General features: G+C 40.1%; 1 protein-coding gene and 1 long non-coding RNA gene across 18 annotated transcripts in view, besides 2 other annotated features; one reads left to right on the top strand and one right to left on the bottom strand.

Moving 5' to 3' along the window:
* The window catches only part of RNF217 (ring finger protein 217), a 130198-nt gene extending 126016 nt beyond the window's left edge, over positions 1–4182 (bottom strand). For 12 of the 17 annotated variants that reach the window (XR_001743178.2, XR_007059212.1, XM_011535494.3 and 9 more), the window contains exon 1: positions 3193–4182. Coding sequence is in view for 14 of the 17 variants with exons in the window: in XM_011535494.3 (XP_011533796.1) it covers positions 3193–4074 (882 nt within the window). In the remaining 3 variants the exon portion in view is untranslated. The other 5 variants (XM_047418247.1, XM_011535499.4, XM_011535495.4 and 2 more) reach the window with 4 other exon arrangements.
* The window catches only part of RNF217-AS1 (RNF217 antisense RNA 1), a 54785-nt gene continuing 35968 nt past the window's right edge, over positions 3592–22408 (top strand). The window contains exons 1-3 of the long non-coding RNA NR_026876.1: positions 3592–3796; positions 18521–18688; positions 21180–21320. This is a non-coding gene — a long non-coding RNA (RNF217 antisense RNA 1). The remainder of the gene's footprint in view (positions 3797–18520; positions 18689–21179; positions 21321–22408) is intronic.
* Positions 10128–10716: an enhancer, noted in NCBI's record as "H3K4me1 hESC enhancer chr6:125277049-125277637 (GRCh37/hg19 assembly coordinates)". NCBI's record gives its function as "activates a minimal SCP1, AML or CMV promoter by ChIP-STARR-seq in naive H9 embryonic stem cells {active_cell/tissue: H9 hESC(naive)}" and the evidence as "EXISTENCE:reporter gene assay evidence [ECO:0000049][PMID:30033119]".
* Positions 10717–11306: an enhancer, noted in NCBI's record as "H3K4me1 hESC enhancer chr6:125276459-125277048 (GRCh37/hg19 assembly coordinates)". NCBI's record gives its function as "activates a minimal SCP1, AML or CMV promoter by ChIP-STARR-seq in naive H9 embryonic stem cells {active_cell/tissue: H9 hESC(naive)}" and the evidence as "EXISTENCE:reporter gene assay evidence [ECO:0000049][PMID:30033119]".

Raw genomic sequence — 22408 nt, 5'->3', positions numbered from 1 at the left:
TTATTTTCTTAAATGATGTTAAATAATGCACTATGTGGCACAAACTAAAAGAAATGGTGGAAAAAAGTCACTAATAACTCTTTATCTCAATACATCATTTTTTTCAAAAGGTCTTAAGAACCCTGAAAGTTTAGGCTTGACACATTTGCTTCTGTCAAACCTAAGAGACCTTTTAAGATGAGAAAGAAAGCACTCACTATGCCCTTTTGATGTGGTTCAGTAGGGCAACAAAATAACCATGCAGTTTGACTTTGTTTTGCTTTGGAACTGGTGGGTTATTACAGGTTGTCTGCAATTACATTTCATTGATGAGGAAATTAAGGCATAGAGAGGTTAAGTGACAGAGAAACACAACCTTTGAGTAGAGGGACCATAGAATTGACACAGATCAAAAATATTACAACCACAATCCTGTATTTTTAACCAACTAAAAAAGGCTATTTTATGTATAAGCTCAAAGTTTATCTAAGCTCTTAAATTCTAAGTTTAATAACCAACTTAGCAAACCTGTTACTTTTGTCCGCTTTAAGCCCTTTGTCTTTTGTCTTAAGTATCAAGAAGCTCAGAATAGAATTTAGTGCCAATGCAGAACACCACTTCCTAGCCTTGGTTTCTGGGGCAATCTCAGGCCTTTCAAAAATTCAGTAGGTTTTAGTTGCCCATCTGTTATATACCAGACAACGCTGTAGATGCTAAAGATACAGACCTGTACAAATAATGTGAAAACTTCTGTCTTGACTTAATTACTTAAGTGTAAGACAGAGTATGTTAGTGCTATGGAGAAAATAAAAAGCAGGAAAAAAGAGAGAGAGCGTGGGGTGAGGCTCAATTTTTAAAAGGGTGGTCAGTGAAAGTCACAGGGCATGACATTTGAATATAGCCCTGAAAAGGAGTGCAGTGAGCAGATAAGAGGGCCATGGAGGGAACCTTCCTGGAACAGGGAAAACCAAGTACAAAAGCCCTGAGGTGAAAGCATGCCCGGTATCTATGACTCATCTTTTTGTTGCTGTTTATTATTTTAAATAATGTATATTCTTCTTTTTTTTTGAGAGGAGTCTCACTCTGTTGCCCAGGCTGGAGTGCAATCATGTGATCTTGGCTCACTGCAACCTCTGCCTCCTGGGTTCAAGTGATTCTTCTGCCTCAGCCTTCCAAGTAGCTGGGATTACAGGCATGCGCCACCATGCCCAGCTAATTTTGTATTTTTAGTAGAGACGGGGTTTCACCATGTTGGTCAGGCTGGTCTTGAACTCCCGATCTCAGGTGATCCACCTGCCTCAGCCTCCCAAAGTGCTGGGATTACAGGCGTGAGCCACCGCACCCGGCCAATAATGTGTATTATTATTTATTGAAAGTCCCAGCAAATACTTTGGAAGAAGGTCAGGCACATACATACAATCAGAAATGCTGCAGACAAGCTTCAGATACTGTGTCACTGCAGAGGAGTTTTTAGTGGTTGTACTGTACACTGCAATGACCACTTGACTATGTCCCTCTGTCTCCCTACTACCATTACTAAAACTTCCTAAAACTAACTTATGAGGTTTAATAAAGAAAAAGAAAACTGCTTTGGGGAAAGGGCCCACCATAAGGAAATCAAACTGCTAGGTAAAGTACCCCAAGCCACAATGACTACCTCCCTTGAATTTCTGGAATGTGTATCCAGCATTTAACAGGAAGTGCTATCTGGAATTGTTACTCTATTGACATCTCATCCCATGCTACCTTGTATTGTTCTTTTGTACACATCTGCTCTCACAGTGACTTCCCTGGAGGCGGGCTTATATTTTGGAAATGTCTGAATCCCATCGCAGGGCAGCGAAATCTGTTTTGAGGATGATGATACAGAAACTACCACAACCAGCAGCAGACATTCCTCCTGTTTTAAGAATCTCTGTAGATAAAGCATGAAAGAAACAACAGTCTCTCAGAGGCTTTTAAATAATCCCAACTATTTTAGCCAACTTACTGTTTATGTAACATACCGTTTTAAGTCTTTGTTTGCATTTTTAGTTAGGGACTGTACACACTTTCAGTCTAGACCCAAGCATGAGTTAGCCAAAAAACATAGAGGAATCACATGGTACGGAGCCCTGTTCAGTTTGTCCCAGCCAATGTTATTAAAAACACTATGATGGGCAAGGGACTCAACATGAAGCTACCACATATGGGACTCTAAGACATTGTCCAGACAGTCTAACAAGACAAGCAGACACGAAAGAAACAACTTCAGTGCATGTAAGATAATATAAGATACTGTGAAAGTATATAAGCAGTGACTTGGAGGGTGAGGCAACGCTTCACAGAAGAGTTGGCACCTGAACACACAGGGTTTTGAAAGATGAATAGGCCTAGGACAATTGGACACAGGATCAAAGGGCATCCAGGATTGTGCAAAACACTGGCAGAAACATCACAGATTGAAAACTGCTGGAAGAACGCATTCACCGTCAGTGAAGGAAAGCTGGTCTGGTGCACTCTCAAGCTTTCCAAGAAAAAAAACCAAGTTTTCAAATAAAAGCAGAGGAGGAAAGTTTCACCAGTGCTTGTTCTGAGAAACCTCTTAGCCTCTCTTTGCTTTGTTTTGCTCTTTCTGTTTTGCTTCCCTCTTAAAGAGTGCTGGCTTAAAACCTCAGTGAAAGAAAAGTACTTCAACTTTACTGTGGAAAAAGGAAACTGAAAAGTAGGCAAAGGCCAAGGGATACATTTTTTTAAACATTCACTCTTTCCTGGAATATACAAATGAAGCAAAATTACAAATTCATGTATTATGGGTCTGAAATATTTATTCCAATTCTTTTCTCCACCAGCTCCATAAATATTTATTCTATGCCCACTGCTTGTTAGTTTCTGGGATACCAGGCCGATGAGGCAGTCTCTTCCTCTCCTCCTTTGAGCAAGCTTGTGCTTGCAATCCTGTATAAGAAATAAGAGGAGGGCAACAACTTGTATCTTGTGCCTTCTACACATGCCAACCATAGCCTGAAGTTCACAGCAAAGTTAAATTCCAGTTAAGTAAACCAGTGAGGTCATAATACACTTAAATAACAACTGAGACGTGAGAAACTAACAGAGATCCTCAGTAAGTGTGTCGGTCACCTCTTCGCGCGAGCAGGGAGATCAGATCGAGAGCAGGACCTCCTCGCCAGTGATTTGGAATGATAAATGGGGAAGAGAAGGGGGTGAAGTTACCTGGGCGCTCAGGTAGACTTTGAGGCACTCCTCGCACACGGCCTTCTTGCAGCAAGGCAGGGGCTTGATGGGCTTGTCTTCCAGGCACACCCGGCACATCAGCACCATGAGGGGCACATAGGGATCCCCTACACCGCCCAGGCCAGAGTAGGGTGGAGCTCCCAACAGGCTGGGCATGGAGAACGGCTCGGGCGCCAGGTAGAACTCCAGCTCGATGCTGCCGCCGTCGGGGGAGAGGGAATCCGTTGGGAGGGACAGTCGGGGGCTGGGGAAGGAAGAGCGGGTGCTGGGAGGGTTCAACACTGGCGGAGCCCCAGGTGGCGACGCGGGCGGCGAGAGCTGCTCCGAGGCGGGGGCCTCGGGCAGGTCGCTCTCCACGCAGTACACGGAGCAGAAGACTTGTCTCTTGGCGAGGGACGGGCGCCGCTGACCCAGCACGTCCAGGACCAGTCCGTCGGCGGCCCCCACGCGGGTCCTGGGCTCCAGCTCTTCGCCGGGGGGCGCCTCCTGCTGTTCATCCCCTCCCTCTTTTCGATCCCCAGCTTCCTCCTCTTCCTCCTCCAGCTCCAACTGCAGTGGCAAGGTCTGGGGATTGAGAGGCCCGGTGAGTGCCAGTCCCGCAGGCTGCGCCGGTGCTCGGCTCTTACTCCAGCCCGGGGGCCCCAGGCTCCTCGCGGGCTCTGGGGCGCTGGTGTCCGCGCAGCCCCAGTCGCTTCCGCAGCCACCGCCGCTCGGCTCCGCGGAGGCGGCGCGCAGCGGGGGCGCCCGGGCGCTGTCCCCCTGAGGCCTCGGGGGCTCAGGGTGGCCCGCAGTGCCACTGGCCAGGGTCTGCGACTCCTGGGGCCCGCCGCCGCCGCTCACCGTGCTCTGCTCCTCGCCCATCGCCGCCCGCGGCCCGCGCCGCCGCTGCCCATCCAGCCGCCGGGACCCCCACCCGGCGCCCGCGGGCAGCGGGGGCAGTGGCTCGGCTCGACTCGCGGCTCCGCTTCTGCTTCCGGGTCCTTCCTCCTGGGCTGGGACGCCCCAAGTCCCCTCCGGGGAGCCCGTGCTCCGAGGCTGCGGCGCGTGGGGAGCCTGGCCCGGCCCGCCGCTCCTCCTCGTACTCTGGCGCGGCGGGGCACCGCCTCGGGGGCGCCGAGGGCCGCTCGCTCTGGGCTCGGGCGCGCCCGCCCCACATGCAGCTCGGGGCGGCGCCGCAGCCCCAGCGAGCCCCAGGCGGGACAGAGGGGTCTGGGAGGAGACGGCCGTCAGTCCCGCGCCATCACCGGTCCCGGCTGCCGGACGCGCGGCCCGAGGGCGGTGGTCAAAGGGTCGAGGGGCCTGTGGCGCCGCCGCGGCGCGCACCAGGAGGTGCAGCCGGAGCGCTGGCCAGCCGCAGGGCCCCTGGGGGAGAGGCCGGAGCGGGCGACCTCCCTCTCCCCGCGCTTCACCTACAGCCCTCCTCGCCGCCCCTCACCCCACCCCTTTGGCGCACACCTCCCCACACGTACACACGCGCGCAGGCACCCGCGCACACACACACGCACACCCTGAGTGGGTGTGATCTAAGAGCTGAGATGCGCTTTCTCGCCCGGAGTTCACACTCAGCCTCAACAAAACCCTCAGAGCAGGCAGGCTCCCCTTTGGTCTCCGCATTCAGTAGAACTTCCTACAAAACTACACTCAGCTCTGGAATTAGTAAACGCTGGCTATTTAGGATGTCGAGTTCAGAGAAATAATGCTAAGGATTATGAATTCTAAATGCTGTATATTACAACTCTGTTTTTCTGCCTAGTGGAGTAGGAAGAATCTTCGAAACCCATAAATAATCGAAAAAGCACTTTCGATCTACTCCTCCAACTGGAATCCTTAGAAGAGTTGATAACTAATTTAAAATTTCTCTCTTTTTCTTCGCCTACAGTGTTCTCTTAGAAGTTTTTTTTTTTAACCCTTTTCAGCATTCCAAAATGGATAGCACAAGGTGGAAAAATGTCCTGACCTAATTAATAAACTGGATCATTAGTGGAAATCATGGGCAGTTTCATTAGCATAACCATATTTATCCTCAAAACTGTTTCCAAAACAACAATTATATGTGAGCCAGGACTTAATTATGTGTTGATCTATCTTTATTTTACAGGAAGTATTACTCACCCAGACACTGGTGTTTTAGTTCCCTAAAGCCAGTGAAAACATTTTTGGGAAGCCAGCCCTTGTTTTGTTTTTTTTCTCCTGAGAGGGAATTCAATTTACACATTCATGTAATAGCAAGGAACTGTAAAGTGTGTAGAATTTTATTTTTTAATCTCGAAGTTGTTATTGGGTTGTTCTAAAATATTTTCCAAATCAGATGCAAATGATACAAAGGTGACTAGCGATGCAAACTAAGAAAGCAGTGTAATGCCAAAGAACATTTCCATCATATATGTGTGTCTGAGGCTCAGTTGCAAGCAAAGGTATGAATTGGATGTCTAAATGCCATGTCATCTATCGGTCTGACCCAAGAATGGAAAATTCTTATTTTGAAGATTAAATGCTATTCGAGGATTCTTTTCTTTTTTATCTCAGCTAAGTGATTTCCTGGTAACTGCTGTTTTCTCCAAATGATACTTTAAGTGCTTATTGTTTTAAAGACAGAGACAAGAAACCTACTTATGTGTGCCTTTTGAGTGTGCCATCTGATGACCAAGCCACTATTCTTTCCAGAGATATAAAAGTAATCTGCATTTTCCAGGTGACAACAGGCTAAGACCAGAGTAACAATAATGGATGCCAAAAAGTATATTCCCACAGCGTCTATTGGAATAAAACCCCTCAAAGTCCTCTTATAGTTTTGGGAACCCCTCCTCACACACATTTTTCACTCGTATTCTGAGAACTTGTTCTTCCAGTGTTTACCATTTTATTCCTTATCCCTTAGGTTCCAGCTTACTGGAAGTGGCTGTCCTCTACACCAAACCCATTAGAAGTCCCTGCTGGGACTCATGATGGCCGCCCATATCTCTGCTGCTTAAAACTGCAGCCCTTTATTTTGCCATGACTTCTTCCCTACAGAATTCATTGGGCCTTTGTGAAAATAGAATAATATGTGGTTCCCTATTTCCACCCTCCAAATTGGCCCAAACTTGCCTGAATCCTTGACCCACCACCCCTGGCATTCAATCTAGTGCTCATGGGACTCCAGCAGCATGGAAGTGAATTAAATTGAAAAGTTAACATCGTGGTTCCACAATGAATTTTCTCTGAAGTGCATGAAGCACCAGTAATGATTGTTTCGATGGGATTAATTATTTAAAGAAGGATTGGTTGAAAATATTTTATTAACCAATATTTAATATTTTAGCAAAAATTCCATTTATCTGCCACAAGCTTAATATTCTCAAAACTCAAACCATCTGCTCCATCTCAGGTTGTACACAACTGTTGATACAACGTAAGTACTATCACTAATATCCTGCTCCTACCAACATAAAGCCTCAAAATGTCCTAATCTGCAGTGAACTGTGTACCTTCCCTAAAATCCAGACTTCAATATCAGAAAACTATGTCAGTTTTAGAATGCTGTTTTTTCTATTATTGCCTTTCTTATCCTGGCATTAAAACATGACTTCTTTTTGGCTCCCTTCAATTTTTTTAAATCATTTTTATTAATGCATAATATTTGAACATATTTGTGGGATATATGTGATATTTTGATATATGCATACCATGTGTGATGATCAAATAAAGGTACACAGGATATTCATCACCTTGAACAGTTATCATTTCTTTGTGTTGGAAACATTTCAAATATTCTCTTCTAGCTGTTTTAAAATATACAATATATAGCTATAGTCAGCCTACTGTGCTATTGAACACTAGAACTTAGTCCTTCTATCTAAGTATATGTTTGTATACATATAACCAACTTCTCTTCATCTGCCCCTGTGTTTCCAGCCTCTGGGAACTATCATTCTCCTTTCTACTTCCATGAGATCAACTTTTTAAACTCCCATATATCAAGAACATGTGATATTTGTCTTTCTGTGCCTGCCTTATTTCACTTAACATAATGATCTCTAGTGCCATCCATGTTGCTGTAAATGACAAAATTTCATTTTTTATGGCTAAATAGTATTTTATTGAATATACATACCATATTTTCTTTATCCATTCATCTGTTGATAGACACTTAGGTTGATTCCATATCAACCTCTTGTAAATAGTGCTATAATAAATATAGGGGTGCAGATGTCACTTTGATTTACTGATTTCCTTTCCTGCTACTGGATAAATACCCAGTAATGAGATTGCTGGATCATATGGTAGTTATATTTTTAGTTTTTTGAGAAACTTCCAGACTATTTTCTATAATGACTATACATATTTATGTTCCCATCAAGAGTGTATAAAATTTCCCTCTTCTATGCATCCTGGCCACCTTTTGTTATTTTTTGTCTTTTTGATAATAGTCATTCTAACTGTGGTAAGATGATGTCTCATTGTGGTTTTGATCTGCATTTCTCTGGTGATTGATGATGCTGGGCATTTTTTAAATAAACTTGTTAGCCATTTGTATGACTTCTTTTGAGAAAGAAAGTCTATATAAAAGAAAGTCTTTTGAGTTGATTTTTGTGATCAACTGTGTGAGTGATAGGTGTCTAGTTTCATTCTTATGCATAGGGATTTCCAGTTTTCTCGGCATCATTTATTGAAGAGAATGTCTTTTCCCCAATGTTTATTCTTGGCACCTTTGTTGGAAATTAGTTGGCCATAAATATGTGGACTTAATAATATTTCTGGATTCTCTATTTTGTTTCATTGGTCTATGAGTCTGTCTGTTTTTATACAGACTTTCTTTTATACAGACAAGAAATGTCTGTTAATGTCCTTTGCCCAATTTTTAGTGCAATTATTATATATATTATACTGTTGAGTTTTTTGAGTTCCTTGTATATTCTGGGTATTAGTCCCTTGTGGGATGAATAGTTTGCAAATATTTCCTCCCATTCTGCAGTTTGTGTCTTTGCTCTCTTGATTGTTTCCTTTGCTGTGCATAAGTGTTTTAGTTTGCTCTAATCCCATTTGTCTATTTTTCCCTTTGTTGTCTTTGTTTTTGCAGTCTTAGTCATAAAATTATTGCCTAGACCAATCTCCTACAGCATTTCCCTTATGGCTTCTTGTAGTAGTTTTATAATTTCAGGATTTACATTTGTATTTAATCCTTTTTGAGTTGATTTTTGTATATGGTGAGTCATAGGGATCTAGTATTATTATTCTGTATATGGTGAGTGATAGGGATCTAGTTTTATTATTCTGTATATGGATTTCCAGTTTTCTCAGCACCATTTATTGAAGAGGGTGTCCTTTCCACAGTGTTTATTCTTAGTGCCTTTGTTGAAAAATCAGTTGGCTGTAAATATGCAGACTTATTTCTGGATCTCTATTCTGCTTCATTGGTCTAGAGTCTGTGTTTATAACACTACCATGCTGGTTTGGTTGCTATGGCATTGTAATATAATTTGAAGTCAGGTAGTGTGACGCTTTCAGCTTTGTTCTTTTTGCTCGGCATTGCTTTGGATACTTGGGCTCTTTTTCTGTTCCATTTGAATTTTATGTTTTTTTCTCTATTTCCATGAAAAATAACGTTAGTATTTTGATAGAGATTGCATTGAATTTGTAGATTGCTTTAGGTAATATGGTCATTTTAACGATGTTTGTTCTCCTTATCCATGAGCATGGGATGTCTGTCCATTTGTTTGTGTCCTCTTTAGTTTCTTTCATCAGTGTTTCACAGATTTTTTTCTAGAGATCTTTTATCATCTTGGTTAAATGTATTCATAGGTATTTTATTTATTTATTTATTTTTAAATATTGCAAACAGGATTATCTTCTTGATTTCTTTCTCAGCTACTTCATTATTGTTGTTCAGAAGTGCTACTGATCTGTGTATGTTGGTTTTGTATCCTATAACTTTGCTGAATTTATCTATCATAACTAGGAGTTTCTTTGATGCCTTTACTCATCTCTTCTCCTTCAGGAACACCCAAAATTTGAATATTTGGTCACTTCTTTGTCTCATATGTTATGTAGGCTTTGTTCTTTTTTATTCTTTTTTGTTTTTTGTCTGATGGGATTATCACAAAAGGCATCTTCAAGTTCAGAAATTCTTTTTTCTGCTTGACTTAGTGGATTTTGAAGCTCTACATTGTATTTCTTATTTCATTCATTGACTTATTCAGTTTTGGATTTCTGTTGGTCCTTTTCTATGATATCTCTTTGTTGAGTTTTTCATTCAGATCATGAACTGTTTTTTCTGATTTGTTTGTGTTTTTAAATCTATGTCCTTTTGTATCTCACCGAGCTTCTTTAATTTCATTATTTTGAATTCGTTTTCAGTCAATTGATTTCTTTTTTGTTGGAATCTGTTGCTGAAGAATTATTATGTTCCTTTGGAGGTGTCATGTTTCCTTGCCTTTTCATGTTTCTTGCATCCTTGCATTGATACGTGCACATGTCATGTAACAGTCACTTCTTAATTTTTTGGATTGGCTTTTGTAAGGAAAGACTTTTTCCTATAGATGTGTCTATGGTGTTGGTTGGGTAGGGCACTTTAGCTTTGATTCTGGGTGTGTGTAGTTTCTGTATGATTTCTTCAGCTGTAATCAGCATCAGTGGTATTTTTGAGTTTTCCTCAGTGACTTAGGTTGCAATTGTTAGTGGAGGATATGGTGAGGCTATTTTGGGATGGGAGACACCAGTTGGGTAGGTTATTGAGCTCTGATGGTGATGGTGGTGGCAGGACAATTGGGCCCATCCTTGGGCCCCCAGGTGTATACACCGTTACTGGTATTTGCAAGTCCAGGCAGGCAGCCAGGCAGCTTGCTTAGGTTCCAACAGTGGCAGAGGTGGGTCAAGCAAGTGGGCATGTCCATAGGCCCCTTGGTGGCATGTGTGGTATGGACAATGACAGTAACAGTGACAGGCCAATACTCAGGCCCTCATGCACTACTGGTGGTTGCACATTGGTGGGTGGCAGCCTTTGTGGTAGTGGCAGGCTGGGAGGACCCATCCTCAAGCCCCCAGGAGAATTGCACAGACATCAGTAATGGCAGACTGTGTAATCAATCCCTAGGCCCCCAGATGACACGTGCAAGTACTGACAGGCCTCGCACCAGGCAGGACTGTTCTGTCCTCAGGCCCCAGGTGTTACACGTGGGTGCAGGCTGTGGTGGGTGGGACTGTTCAATTCTCAGGCTCCCAGTTTATTTGCACAGGTGTTGGCAGGCTGGGCAGGCCTGTCCTCAGGCCTCTGGAAAGCATGCATAGACACTGGTGGCAGCAAATGAGGTGCGTCAATTCCAAGGCCCCCAGAGAGCATGCTTTGGCACGATTGGCAGGTAGGCTGGGTCTGTCGTTAGGCCCAGCTGGCAATGACAAACCTACTGATGTTGTGTGCATATGCCAATGGTTCAGGCAGGGCAGGTCAATCTCCAGGACTGCAGATGGCACACCTGAGCACTGGAAAGCATGATGCCAAGCATGGCAGGCCTGTCCTTGGGTCCCCAATAGTGTACGCGTGCACAGGCTGTAGTGTGTGAGGCGGGGCAATCCCCAGTGTCCCAGACAGCCTGCATAGGCACCAGTGGTAGGTAGACTGGCTCTGCTGTTAGGCCCCCTGATAACGCATTCATATAGCAGAAGCAGCAGGCAGGGTGGGTTGGTCCCCAAGCCTTCAGCTGTTGTGCTTGGGTGATAGCAGCAGTGAGTAAGACTGGCCTGTCCTCAGGCCCTTGGATGACATCTGCCTGGACCAGTCACCAGGTCCATTGAAGGCACATACATGTGCATGGTGGCCCTTCTGCTGGGGTGACTGGGCTGGCTGTCAGTGGCAGTGGTGTTCTTCAGGCTCTGGGGAGTGCACATTTTGCCTTACTTCTTCCTGGGTGCATCCTCCCCAGTGTGCTGCACTGCCTGTTCCCCGGGGTGTAAGACTCTGCATGGGCTAGAGGGCTTGGAACGCAGCAGCACCATTAGGTTCAGCCAGCGTCTCCGTGTTGCAGCGCTCTGGGTTGTCATGGGGGATTATCAATATTGGCAGGGTTCCAGGAATGTGAAGATGCAGGGCTTTTGGGCCCCAGGGCAGGATGTAGGCTAGTGGGGGCTCTCAAAATAGCACCACGCTGCTTGGGTCTGGGGAATGTGTTAGACCCAGCAAGAGCTCCCATCTGGAACAGTTGTGTTGCAAGGACCCCAGGCAGCTCCCTATACTATTCTCAGTTCTCAGGACTGCAGGAGTCTACTTCTAGGGATCTCTCCCTTACCCTTTCCCCACACTGGGGAGCCTCTTTTGGCTCCTCTCAGGTCCCAGCTGGGCCAGCTGCCTTGTTTCTCTCTCCTTCCATGCCTCAGATATTCCATGTCACTTCCTTGCTGAATTCCAGTGTTCTCTCTTCGATGCTGTATTCGATCTATGTTTATCTACTTACTGTTTTCCTCCTTCTCTGTGGAGGAGATGAGTGCTGGGTGCCTCTAGTTAGCCATTTTGAACTGTCTGAAATTTTTTATCCAGACGTTAAAGAGTTGAGATTTATTAACTCATTAAAAATGTTATGTTATATCAGAAAAACTATGACTCATTTTAGTTTTACATATCAAAGCCAAAACTAATTTCTTCTAAACTATTGTGGAGAAAAAATACATAATATTTAAATGCCATGAAACAATTACAGCAAATACCTGACTTGTTTTTCTACCAATCTCTCAATTATCAAAATAGGTATAAAAATATAGAAATAATTTAATTTAAAAAATCAATTCCTGAAAAGCAATGTCTGTGGTGGAATTTTTTCTACGTCTGCTTCTGAAAGTTGTAGTGTGATGTTCATCCTGCCTTTCCTATTTCTTCCCTCTTATATGTGGAGGAAGAGAATTTGGAATCATGAAAGGAAGAGTTCATCAGGTGGAAAAGAGAGGAATACAATCATTTCACTTTCTTTTTCCACCTAAATCCCCTAAGGAAAAATCCAAATAGCCAACTTGTATGAGATAAAGTTAAAAATAAAACAAAACAGTATAATTTGTTTAAATTTTAAAAGTAATGAAAACCCAAATGCTTAGAACACAAAGGAAACCAAGAAGAGGGAAGAAGAGGAGAAAAGGAGGAAGGAAATAAGGGAAGGAAGGAGAGAGAGGAGAAGGGAGGAAGGCAGGCGGGCAGGCAGGAAGGAAAAAAGGTCTTCACTTGAACTTATTACCCAAAATAACTACTTTAACACATTGGTATATTTCTTTCTAGTGTTTGCATTTGTGTGTATAAAATATATATTAATAAGTGGCACTATTGCCAAAATAAAATAATAATACTCCTTTCCTGCTTTTGTTAATTAGTAATGTATCCTCAACATTTTTCATGCAACTAATGCATCTTTACATTATCATGATTCGCAGCCATACAGTATTTTACTATATAGTGATGTCATAATTTATTTAACTAATTCCATTATATTAAAAATATATCATTCATGATTTCAATAAAATATATAAAATATATGTTAATATATCATATATAATGAATATATTTTATTAACATATAACATGATTTTTATATGCATTCCTAATATGTCACAGGATGAAGTCCTAAGAATTAAATTGATGCAGAAAGGGTGGATGTATTTTCAAGGCTTTTGGCACACATTATCACAGAAACTTATCACCAATTTATAATCTCATCAGATAGTGTGAATGTGACAGAATCTAATTCCTTAATCATTCTAAAGAGATTTTTTAGAATTAAAAAAAACTATATATAACATCACACTTTGAAATTAATGGGCATATTCTTTTAAATGAAAAGGGCAAAATTAAATATTAACTGTTAATCCCCTTCTGTACCTACAAATTTGCATTACATGCTATAGTTTTCTTTCTCAGGTGAGGGTTCTGACAGTTTCCCTTCCTCATCTTTTTTGAATTTTCTCGTTACTTCTTCCAATGGCAAGAGTGTTCTAATAAATTAAACTTGGTCATAGTTAATATTTCTTAATTTTTGATGCTAATTCCTATTTCTGCTTTTATAATGAACAAGAAAGAGAAAGTTGTTGTTGTTTTTTGAGTGAAATCTTCATCTCAATGAACAGAGAAATAAGCTTGGTGTTAAAAGCTACTATTTGCATGCACATCCAAGACAGAGTAAGGTAAGCAAGTCTTCCTTTTTTGTGTTACAATTGAATTTAACAAACATTTCCTGGATGTCTGTTAGATCCTGCGTCAAGCTCTGGAAAATTTGGTTTACTAACTTGTTTAATAGAGAAAATAATCCTTTCTCCAGATTTCCCTTTATTATTAACTTTATAACATCTATGAAACACTTCAAACTTTCCAGAGCAGATTTTACCTGTATATGGAAGGCCAGTTCCTGGCATTCTGCACATATTTCGATCCCAAAAAAGCATTTTTAAAGGAAAGAAACAATATAATAATTCTACTCTGTAGTAACTTAAAGCATCATGTGGAACTGAACTTTCCAAACTATGGGTTGAGGTGTTCTGAAGCACTGCAGCAAACCCATAGGATCACATGGAACATTAAAAATTCTTGAGGGAATCACAGCATTACCTATCAACACATGCAAATGCTACTGTTAAGTTGTTTGGACCCAATTACTATTAGGAATTTCTTTTGGCCTAAAAGGCACCATGAAAAATAATAGAAGAGCACCATAAATCAAGACAGTTTGGAACCTTGGGTTGGACACTTCAGGTACAGGGTAGAAACAACAGGATGGGGACCCTATTCTCTAGAAATTTATATTTTAAATTTACAAGGCACACTTGTATAGTAAAGGATCAACCTTGCCTAAAGAAAGGTTTGCCTCTTGCCTTCAGCTCCTGAGAGGTAACCTCAAAGCTTTTGGAATGGCCAGCCAGAGGAGTGTCTTTATTTGACTTGGGGTCCTTGAGCCATGCCACATAGTCTGTGCTAACAATGTGATTTATGTTGGGGGCCTTGAGTCAGGCAGTATAGGCTTGACCTCTGGAGGTGCTAGAAACTAAGGTCAGCTATGTGGGTGGTTATCCCCCAATAAAAACCCCAGACACCAAGGCTCAGGTGAGTTTCCTGGTTGGTAATACTCAATGCACAAAGTCACACATTATTGCTAGGAGAAATAAGCATTGTTTGCACAACTCCACCAGGAAAAGACCACTGGTAACTCTGTCTGGTCTCTCCTGGACCATGCTTTATGTGCCTTTTCTTGGTGTTGATTTTAATCTGTGTCCTTTCACTGTAATAAACTATAATTGTGGGTAAACAGCTTTGCTGAATTCTGTGAGTCCTTCTATAGCAGTATTGAACCTGAGAGTAGTCTTGGAAGCTCCTGACTGCCACTGACTAACCACTACATCGTTAACTTTTATAGGTTTTCATTTGTGATTTTTTTCCCCAGTAGAAAGATGTCATTGAGAAGATATAGCATCCACTAATGTAAGAACAAGTTTAATATAAAAAATAGCCAATCTTGCCACACAAGAAAGTTCATTTTATCGGGTAATATAGATAAGAAACCTGCCATTTTTATTTATGAGCTATATGAAATTGGTTTTGACATTTTGCATGACAAAATCAACAAGAGTATTAAATGATTCTGAAAGTTTTGAAACTGACAGCTTAAGTGATACAGTAGTATTTATTTTAAAATATGGCAAATAATTTTATCTATTTATGTTTTAAGATACTGCTACCAAGTTGGAATGGGAGAACCCAGCTGCCATCCTTTGCAGAATGTTAAATACCACAAGCTGTTTTACAAACATTGTGTTATCAGTAAAACTCAAAATATTTTCCCAAATACTTTCTAAAAATTTCCCAACATGCAAGTATTTTAAAAAGCTTTTTACTTACATATTCCTAACTCGTTTACATATTATTTTTTCTTAGCTTTGTAAGACTTTGGAGCTTCTATTAAGAGCTTTATGACAATGATGTTTGTTCCATATTTGTATGGGAAAGATACCAGACCATACAAGTAAATATCTTTATCCTAGTTCTATAGTTCCATTAATTGTCCATTTGCCTGCACTTTTTTGGGCCTCATGTTTTACTTCTATAAATTGGGCAGATTGAACTGAATGACTCTAGGCTTCATCTCAATACAAAATTATCATTTCAACTTAATGTATATGAATCACTACTTGTGTACATTGTTGTGGTACACATAGGGCCTATAAATGGTCAATTCAAGCCCTGAGGAATCTTGCAATTACATAAAGAAGACAGATCCTTCACTATAATATCAGAGAGATTTTGGTGGATACAATTAGAGAACTGTAAACTCAGGACTCTGGGAGTTGCAATGCAGGGGTCATTTCTTCCTAGGGGGATCTTAGAATGCTTCATGGAGGGCCTGGAAGATGAGTTAGATTTTTACAGATGGAGAAGGTGGAAAATACAGTAAGTATTTTAGAAGATGGACTATATAAGCTATCTACATGATAGCAGAACATGTAGAGTGCCTTGAGTGGCACTGGTCCTTGATGTCTTGATTGTACGAATTGTCCTGTATGTCTGATTGTATGTTATTTGTTAAGAAAGAACAAGAGATGAGGCAGGAAAGATAAGCTGACGCAAAGTTTTTTAGGGACTGTATTAGTCCATTCTTATGCTGCTAATAAAGATATACCCTAGAGTAATTCATAAAGGATAGAGGTTTCATTGACTCATAATTCTGCATGGCTGGGGAGGCCTCAATAAACTTAAAATCATGGCAGAAGGGGAAGCAAATGCACCCTTCTTCACATGGCAGTAGCAAGGAGAGGAATGAGAGCAAAGTCAGGGGAAAGCCCCTTATAAAACCATCAGATATCATGGGAACTCATTCACTATCACTAGAACAGCACGGAGGTAACCTCCTCCATGATTCAATCACCTCCCACTGGGTCCCTCCCACAACACATTATGGGAACTACAATTCCAGATGAGATTTGAGTGGGGCACAGCCAAACCATTCAGGGACTTTGTGCAAGATAGTTCTATTTTCTTCTAGATTCTCTTTCTTCTCTTGTCCTCCCTCTGTGCCACTGGAGGCTGATCCACAGAGGCACACATCAATGGCTTCAATTACCCTCTGTCTTTCAATTTAGTTCAACGAATGAAAGGTAACTGCAGGTAATCAGAGGGCTGAGGATGTTTATTTTTTCAGCTCTCAATCTGCCATTTACCTGTATGCTGTATTGAAGGCCATAGGTGCTACCATATCTGGGTTCTAAAAGTTTCTCCCTTTGGGCCAAAGGGAGTTGTATTAGTTTCCTAGGACTGCTGTAACAAAGTACCATACACTGGATACATTAAAACAACAAAAATTTATTTTCTCATAGTTCTGAAATCAAGTCGTTGACAGGGCCAGGCTCCCTCTGAAACCTGTAGGGAATAGCCCTTCCTTGCCTCTTCTAGCTGTTGGTGCTTGCTAACAATCCTCGGTGTACCTCAGCTGGTGGCTGCATCACTCTAATCCCCACCATCTTCTCCCAATGTGCTTATCTCTGTGTTTCTTCTTCTCGTCTTATAAAAACACCAGTCATGTTGGATTGAGCCCATCCTACTCCAGTATGACCTCATCTGAAATAATTACTTCTGCAACAATCTTATTTCCAAAGATCACATTCTGAAGTGCTTGGGGTTATGACTTTACATATCTTTTGTGGGGACACAGTTCAACCCATTTCAGGGGATAAAAGCTTCCCAGGGTTGTTAATCTCAGGTTACTGCGCTGTCTCTTATTTGAAACCCAAACTTTGTCTATTTCTAATAGAAGATTCATAATCGGTTCTGAGTTAAAAAACAAACAGATATTGTGGCAAAGTAAAATATGCACTAGAGGGAGGAGATCCAGGAGGCAAGACATGAGGTTATTGTTATGCTGTGTTATGTTATTGTTATGCCTATTGTTATGCTGCATTGTTATGTTGAGACATGAATGGGCTATGAAGTGGGAAGGGGCACCAGTGGCTTCCTAAGTTAAAATCCAAAGTCTTCCTTCAGGCCTTTTATATGGTGCCATCTTTTCGCCACACACACCCTTCATGCCACACCCTCACACCCAATCATTTCACAGACTTTCACTGCCACCTCCTTCAAATGTCCCATTCTTGCTTTCACCAGAGGGTCTTGATCTGTGTTCCCTCTGCCTGGTGTGCCCTTGCTGCTTGTCATATGCACCCACCCACACGTTTTATTTATTTTATTTTTTTCTGAGACAGCGTCTTGCTCTGTCACCCAGACTGGAGTACAGTGGCATGATCACAGCTCACTGCAGCCTCAGTCTCTTAGACTCAAGCCATACTCCTATCTCAGCCACCTGAGTAGCTGGGACTATAGGTGTGCACCACTATACTCAGCTAATTTTATTATTTTTTTAAAGACAGGGTCTCATAATGTTGCATAGGTTGCTTTTCCACCCCGCCCCCCCCCCCCACTTTCTTCAGGTCACTGTTCAATATATCCCTTTGTCAGAAAAGCCTTCCTTAAACAACCTAAATAAAATGTCACCACCCCCAACACCTCATCCTCAGTCACCTCTATCCCTTTATTTTATTTTTCCTCATGGTGCTCACCCAACTGATGTAGTATGTATTTATGTTTTCATTTGTTAATTGTCTTACCCCCACCTCCCATTAGATTTTAACCTCCATGAGAATGGGACTTTTTCGCTCCTATTCTGCCCCAGTTGATAGAACTGTGCCTGACACAGAGTAAGTGTTCGATAGACATTATTAGGTGGTAGTCACCATTAGAAGTAGAATCTGTTGAATATGGTGATAGCTGTAATGTAGTAAAAAGAGTGACAGAGAAGGAATTAAATGACTCCAAGTGTTTCTTTTTGTTGTTGTTTTTCCTCTTGGGTTAACGTGATTTCATAGAAGTAATTTTTATGCCTTTCTTTTAAAACAAGAGCTAACCCAGTTATTTTTGTATTTTACATTTTGAAGGGTAATTTTGTCATTTCCAGTATCATTTTAAAAGTCCCAAGGTTAGTCATAGAAATCAGTAATTCCAATGAGAAATGTGAGTAGGTTGTGACTCATAAACACATTTTTGTGATTGTGCTTCTGATTTGTATTCTGTTATTCTATTAACAGATTCTATTGATACTATTCTATTCTGTCTGTAGGTTGTGGCTGGGATCTAGGGCTTTTTTTTTCCCCATAACTCATGTAATAGTCTTATTATTCATATGCCTCATCAGTTGATTCAATGCTCGCCTCTTTTCATCAAATAGTTAAGTTCAAGAATTAGTCAATGTGTTTAACATGATTATTCAGCTTGTTCTGTGATGCATGGTATTTGTTATTTGATTATTTGCTTCTAATTTTAGGCATGACTAAGAGATATCGTGAAATTACAACTCAACAATGAATTACAGCACAGGCTTTTCACAACTAAGAGACTGTCCATCATGGTGCCAGTTTTTCTCAAAATGGCATGTGTGCATGAAATTCTACAGGCATATGGGGTCGTGATCTGCTAATCTCCAGTTATTATAGTGAGTAATAGATCTGTAAGAATTCTCAGTCCCTTGCTCTAGAAAATATGCTATGTTATTATTTTAAGAATAGTCTTTTTAAGTTCATAGAAAAAAATAAATAAAATTAGGGTAATTTTTAATGTTATCAGTAATAAATGTCAATGAACTTGAATTAAGAATTCATTCTTGAGAAAACTTGCTTGTTTCTCCCAGAAAATCATGATTCATAAAGTATTTTTATATCCTCTAGACAAAATTATTTTATGTTCATTAAAAGGCAGTAGTGAAAATTCAAGAGTATGATCATCTTTAAATTTACAATACTAATTTGAAAGACTATGAAATAAGAGTTAAAAAGGAACTGAGAGAGAAATTCAAAAGTTTGTTGAAAAAATACATTAAAAGAAATTATGAGAAAGTCAAATTATGCCATATTCTTGGCTAGAGATGACGAGATCGCTGATTTTAGCCATTCTTCTCTAATTCCAAAGCAACCAGATTCTTTTTGCTAAGGTTGGGTTTACAAAAATATTGTGAAATAATCAACATGTGTGTGGGTGTTTCCTACCATACCTTGCTCATGGTATAAGTGCTGGGATCATGCTACTCCTTGGAAAATAGTATCTCCCACCATTTTTCTAGAATTTTCCTACCTCATTCCCCTATGAAAACCTACCTTATCTCTGTTCAATTCCCTCAGGCCTTTATGTTGCCCTCCAAATAACAATGGGTAACTATTACCATTAATAATATCACACATATAAATAACATGATTTACAATGTTTTCTACCTGTATTATCTCATCTGATGCTTCAACATTTTACAGCAGGAATTCTAATATGCAAAAGTTGGCAAACTATAGTCTACCACCTGTTTTTGTACAGCTCTAAAGCTAAGAATGATTTTCACATTTCTAAGGGGCTGTTAAACAAATAATATACAATGGAATGTTGTTCACAAAATCTAAAATATTTGCTATCTGCCACTTTACAGGTAAAGTTTTCCTACCCCTGGAATCGTGTTATAATTCTCTTTAAAAGATGAGCAGACAGAGACAAAGCTACATATAGGTGAAGAGCTAGATGCCTTTTGACTTTATTTTCCTGTGTATACCAACCACTCAAGACCCCCCCGTGATTCTTAGCAGCTCATAAAATAATACGGCTGTAAATACAACCAAAAGAGAGATAGTAATATGTAGCGATATATTATGGAAGTAAAATTCCTAAGATACGTTCCAAATAGCTCTTATTGGATGTGCGACATCAGTGAACTTTAGCTGATTCTGATATATGCTAAAGTTTAAATCACATAATCATTTGGTCTTCAATTTCTCATCTGCAAAATTAGAAGGTTTACCTGTGTCACTTGAATCTATTCCATTTCTGCAGAATCTATGTCTCTGAAATGTCAACACTAGCTCAACTGTAGATAACTGTTCCTTCTAGGTCTAAAGTATACTAACTGTTACAATAAAATGTTGCAAGGGGGTCATATCATGACTTTGACTCTTCTGAAGGCTATGAAAGTAAACTGGGAGCTAGTTCAAGAGAAAATAAGACTTCTCTAAACACATATCTATTTTCCTTGACATTTAAGACACTGCAATTGATATTTTTCTTCTAGAGGCTTAACAATTCTATAGGTTTTTAAAATTCCAAAAACTGACAACCAAATTTGGCTTTCAAGGCCATGTGAGCTCCTAGTGGATTGACCCTCCTCATGCAACAGCTGCATAGTGAATCAAAACCAAAATTAAACAAGTAGAAACCACACACACACACACACACACACACACACACACACACACACTACCTGAAAGCTCCGGACAGTGTACAAAAGCAGGCATATTCTAGAAGTAAGTAGCTCATAAAGAATTAACTGGCTCATAATGAGTCTTCTACTTACATGGCTTTTACCTAGGGACTGGCCATGGTCTACACTGTACAGGGTGGCAGAAACCTTGATAGAAAAATCAGGGGTTTACATTCCCAGAGGACAAAGTTTAGGGCAACATCAACTGCCAGAAAATGAAGAGAAAATCCCAGAAAGAGAGAACAAGAAGGGTAAACCACAAATTCTGTGTATTAATTCTGCCAAGATCCCTGCCTGACCCTGAAACACAGAAGCACGGGGCACACTGCAGGCAGCTAAGCTAATAATAAAATAATTAAACTGAGATGCAAGCTGCTACAAAGAGACAGCACTGATAGTTGGAATCTAGCCAAGTTAATTGCTTGTTAAAGCAGCAAATATCAACAATTTGGAGAAATATAAAGAATTGAGAGTTTTTACAGCATGGTATTTCCAATGTTCAGGATAAAATCCAAAATTCTTTGACATTAACAACACGGTAAATGTGATCCATTTTCAGAAAGCAAAATAATCAACGGAGAGCAACCACAAGATAACCCAGTTGTTGGGATTAGCAGACAAATACTTAAAGCAGATATTTTAATTATACTCAGTGAGTTGAAGGAAAATCTCATAATAAATTTTAAAATTTCAGCAAAACTACAGATACTTGAAAACAGAACCAAATAAAAATTCTAGCAGAAGAAGACAATATATGAAATTTAATAATTCATTTCCTGGGAATGACAGCAGAAAGGTGATGACAGAGGAAAGAGCCAATAAAATTTGAAGACAGGTAAATATAAATTATTTAATCTGAAAATGAGGGTAACATTTTTTAAAATAGCAAAAGCCCCAGGAACCAGTAAGGGAAGAGCAAAATATCTCATACGCAAGTAACTAGAGTCTCAGAAGGAGAGGAGAGAGATCATGGAGTTAAAAATATTTAAGAAAATAATATCTCAAGGTTTCCCTAATTTAGTAATCAAGGATTTTGACAAACTTCAAGCAGGATAAATATAAAGAAAATTCAATGTTTGCTTATCATAGTCTAGTTGCTGAAAACCAAATATAAGTAACATTTTTAGAGCAACCAGAGAAAACTTATACATTACATAAAGGAGACCACTGCTTCAAATTATTACTGACCTTTTTATCTGAAACTATGGAAGCCAAAATATATTGGAACAACATGTTTAAAGTGTAAAACAATAAGAACATACAACTGTCAACTTAGAATTCTACACTCAATGAACATATCCTTCAAGAGTAAAGGTGAAATAAAGACATTTTGGATCAAAGGAAACTAAGATAAATCATCACCAATAAACCTACCTCTACTAGAGTAGTGCTAAAGAAAGTTCTTCAGGCTGAATAGAAATGATACCAGAAAGAAATTGTTATCCTAAAATATTAAGAGGATCAGAAATATTAAATATTGTATTATTGAAATATAAAATGTTTTATTTTCAATTTATTTAAATTACATAGTCTTTAAAGCAAAACTTATAACAATGCTTTCTGGGAATTATTTTTTATTCTGAGTTTATTCCCTTCTTTTTTTCAGTTTTATAATGTCCTGCATTACAAGGGAAGGATGTCCACTCTCACCATCTATATTCAACATTATATTGGAGGTCTTAGCCAGTGCAACAAGAAAAAAATAGTGATATTAGAGGAAACGAAGAAGTTAGTCTGCTTTTTTTTAAAATCGTAGATGACATAATTGTTTACAAGGAAAATCCTACAAAATCTATGGAAAAGTTTTTAGAAATAATGGGTGCATTTAGCAATGCCATAGGTTAGTTACAAAATTAATATGCAAACTTCATTGTATTTTCAAATATAAGCAATAAGCAATCATAAAATGAAACTGAAAATTTT

Source organism: Homo sapiens, chromosome 6, assembly GCF_000001405.40.
Source record: "Homo sapiens chromosome 6, GRCh38.p14 Primary Assembly".
NCBI lineage: Eukaryota > Metazoa > Chordata > Mammalia > Primates > Hominidae > Homo > Homo sapiens.
This window is presented reverse-complemented; position numbering and strand designations above follow the sequence as displayed.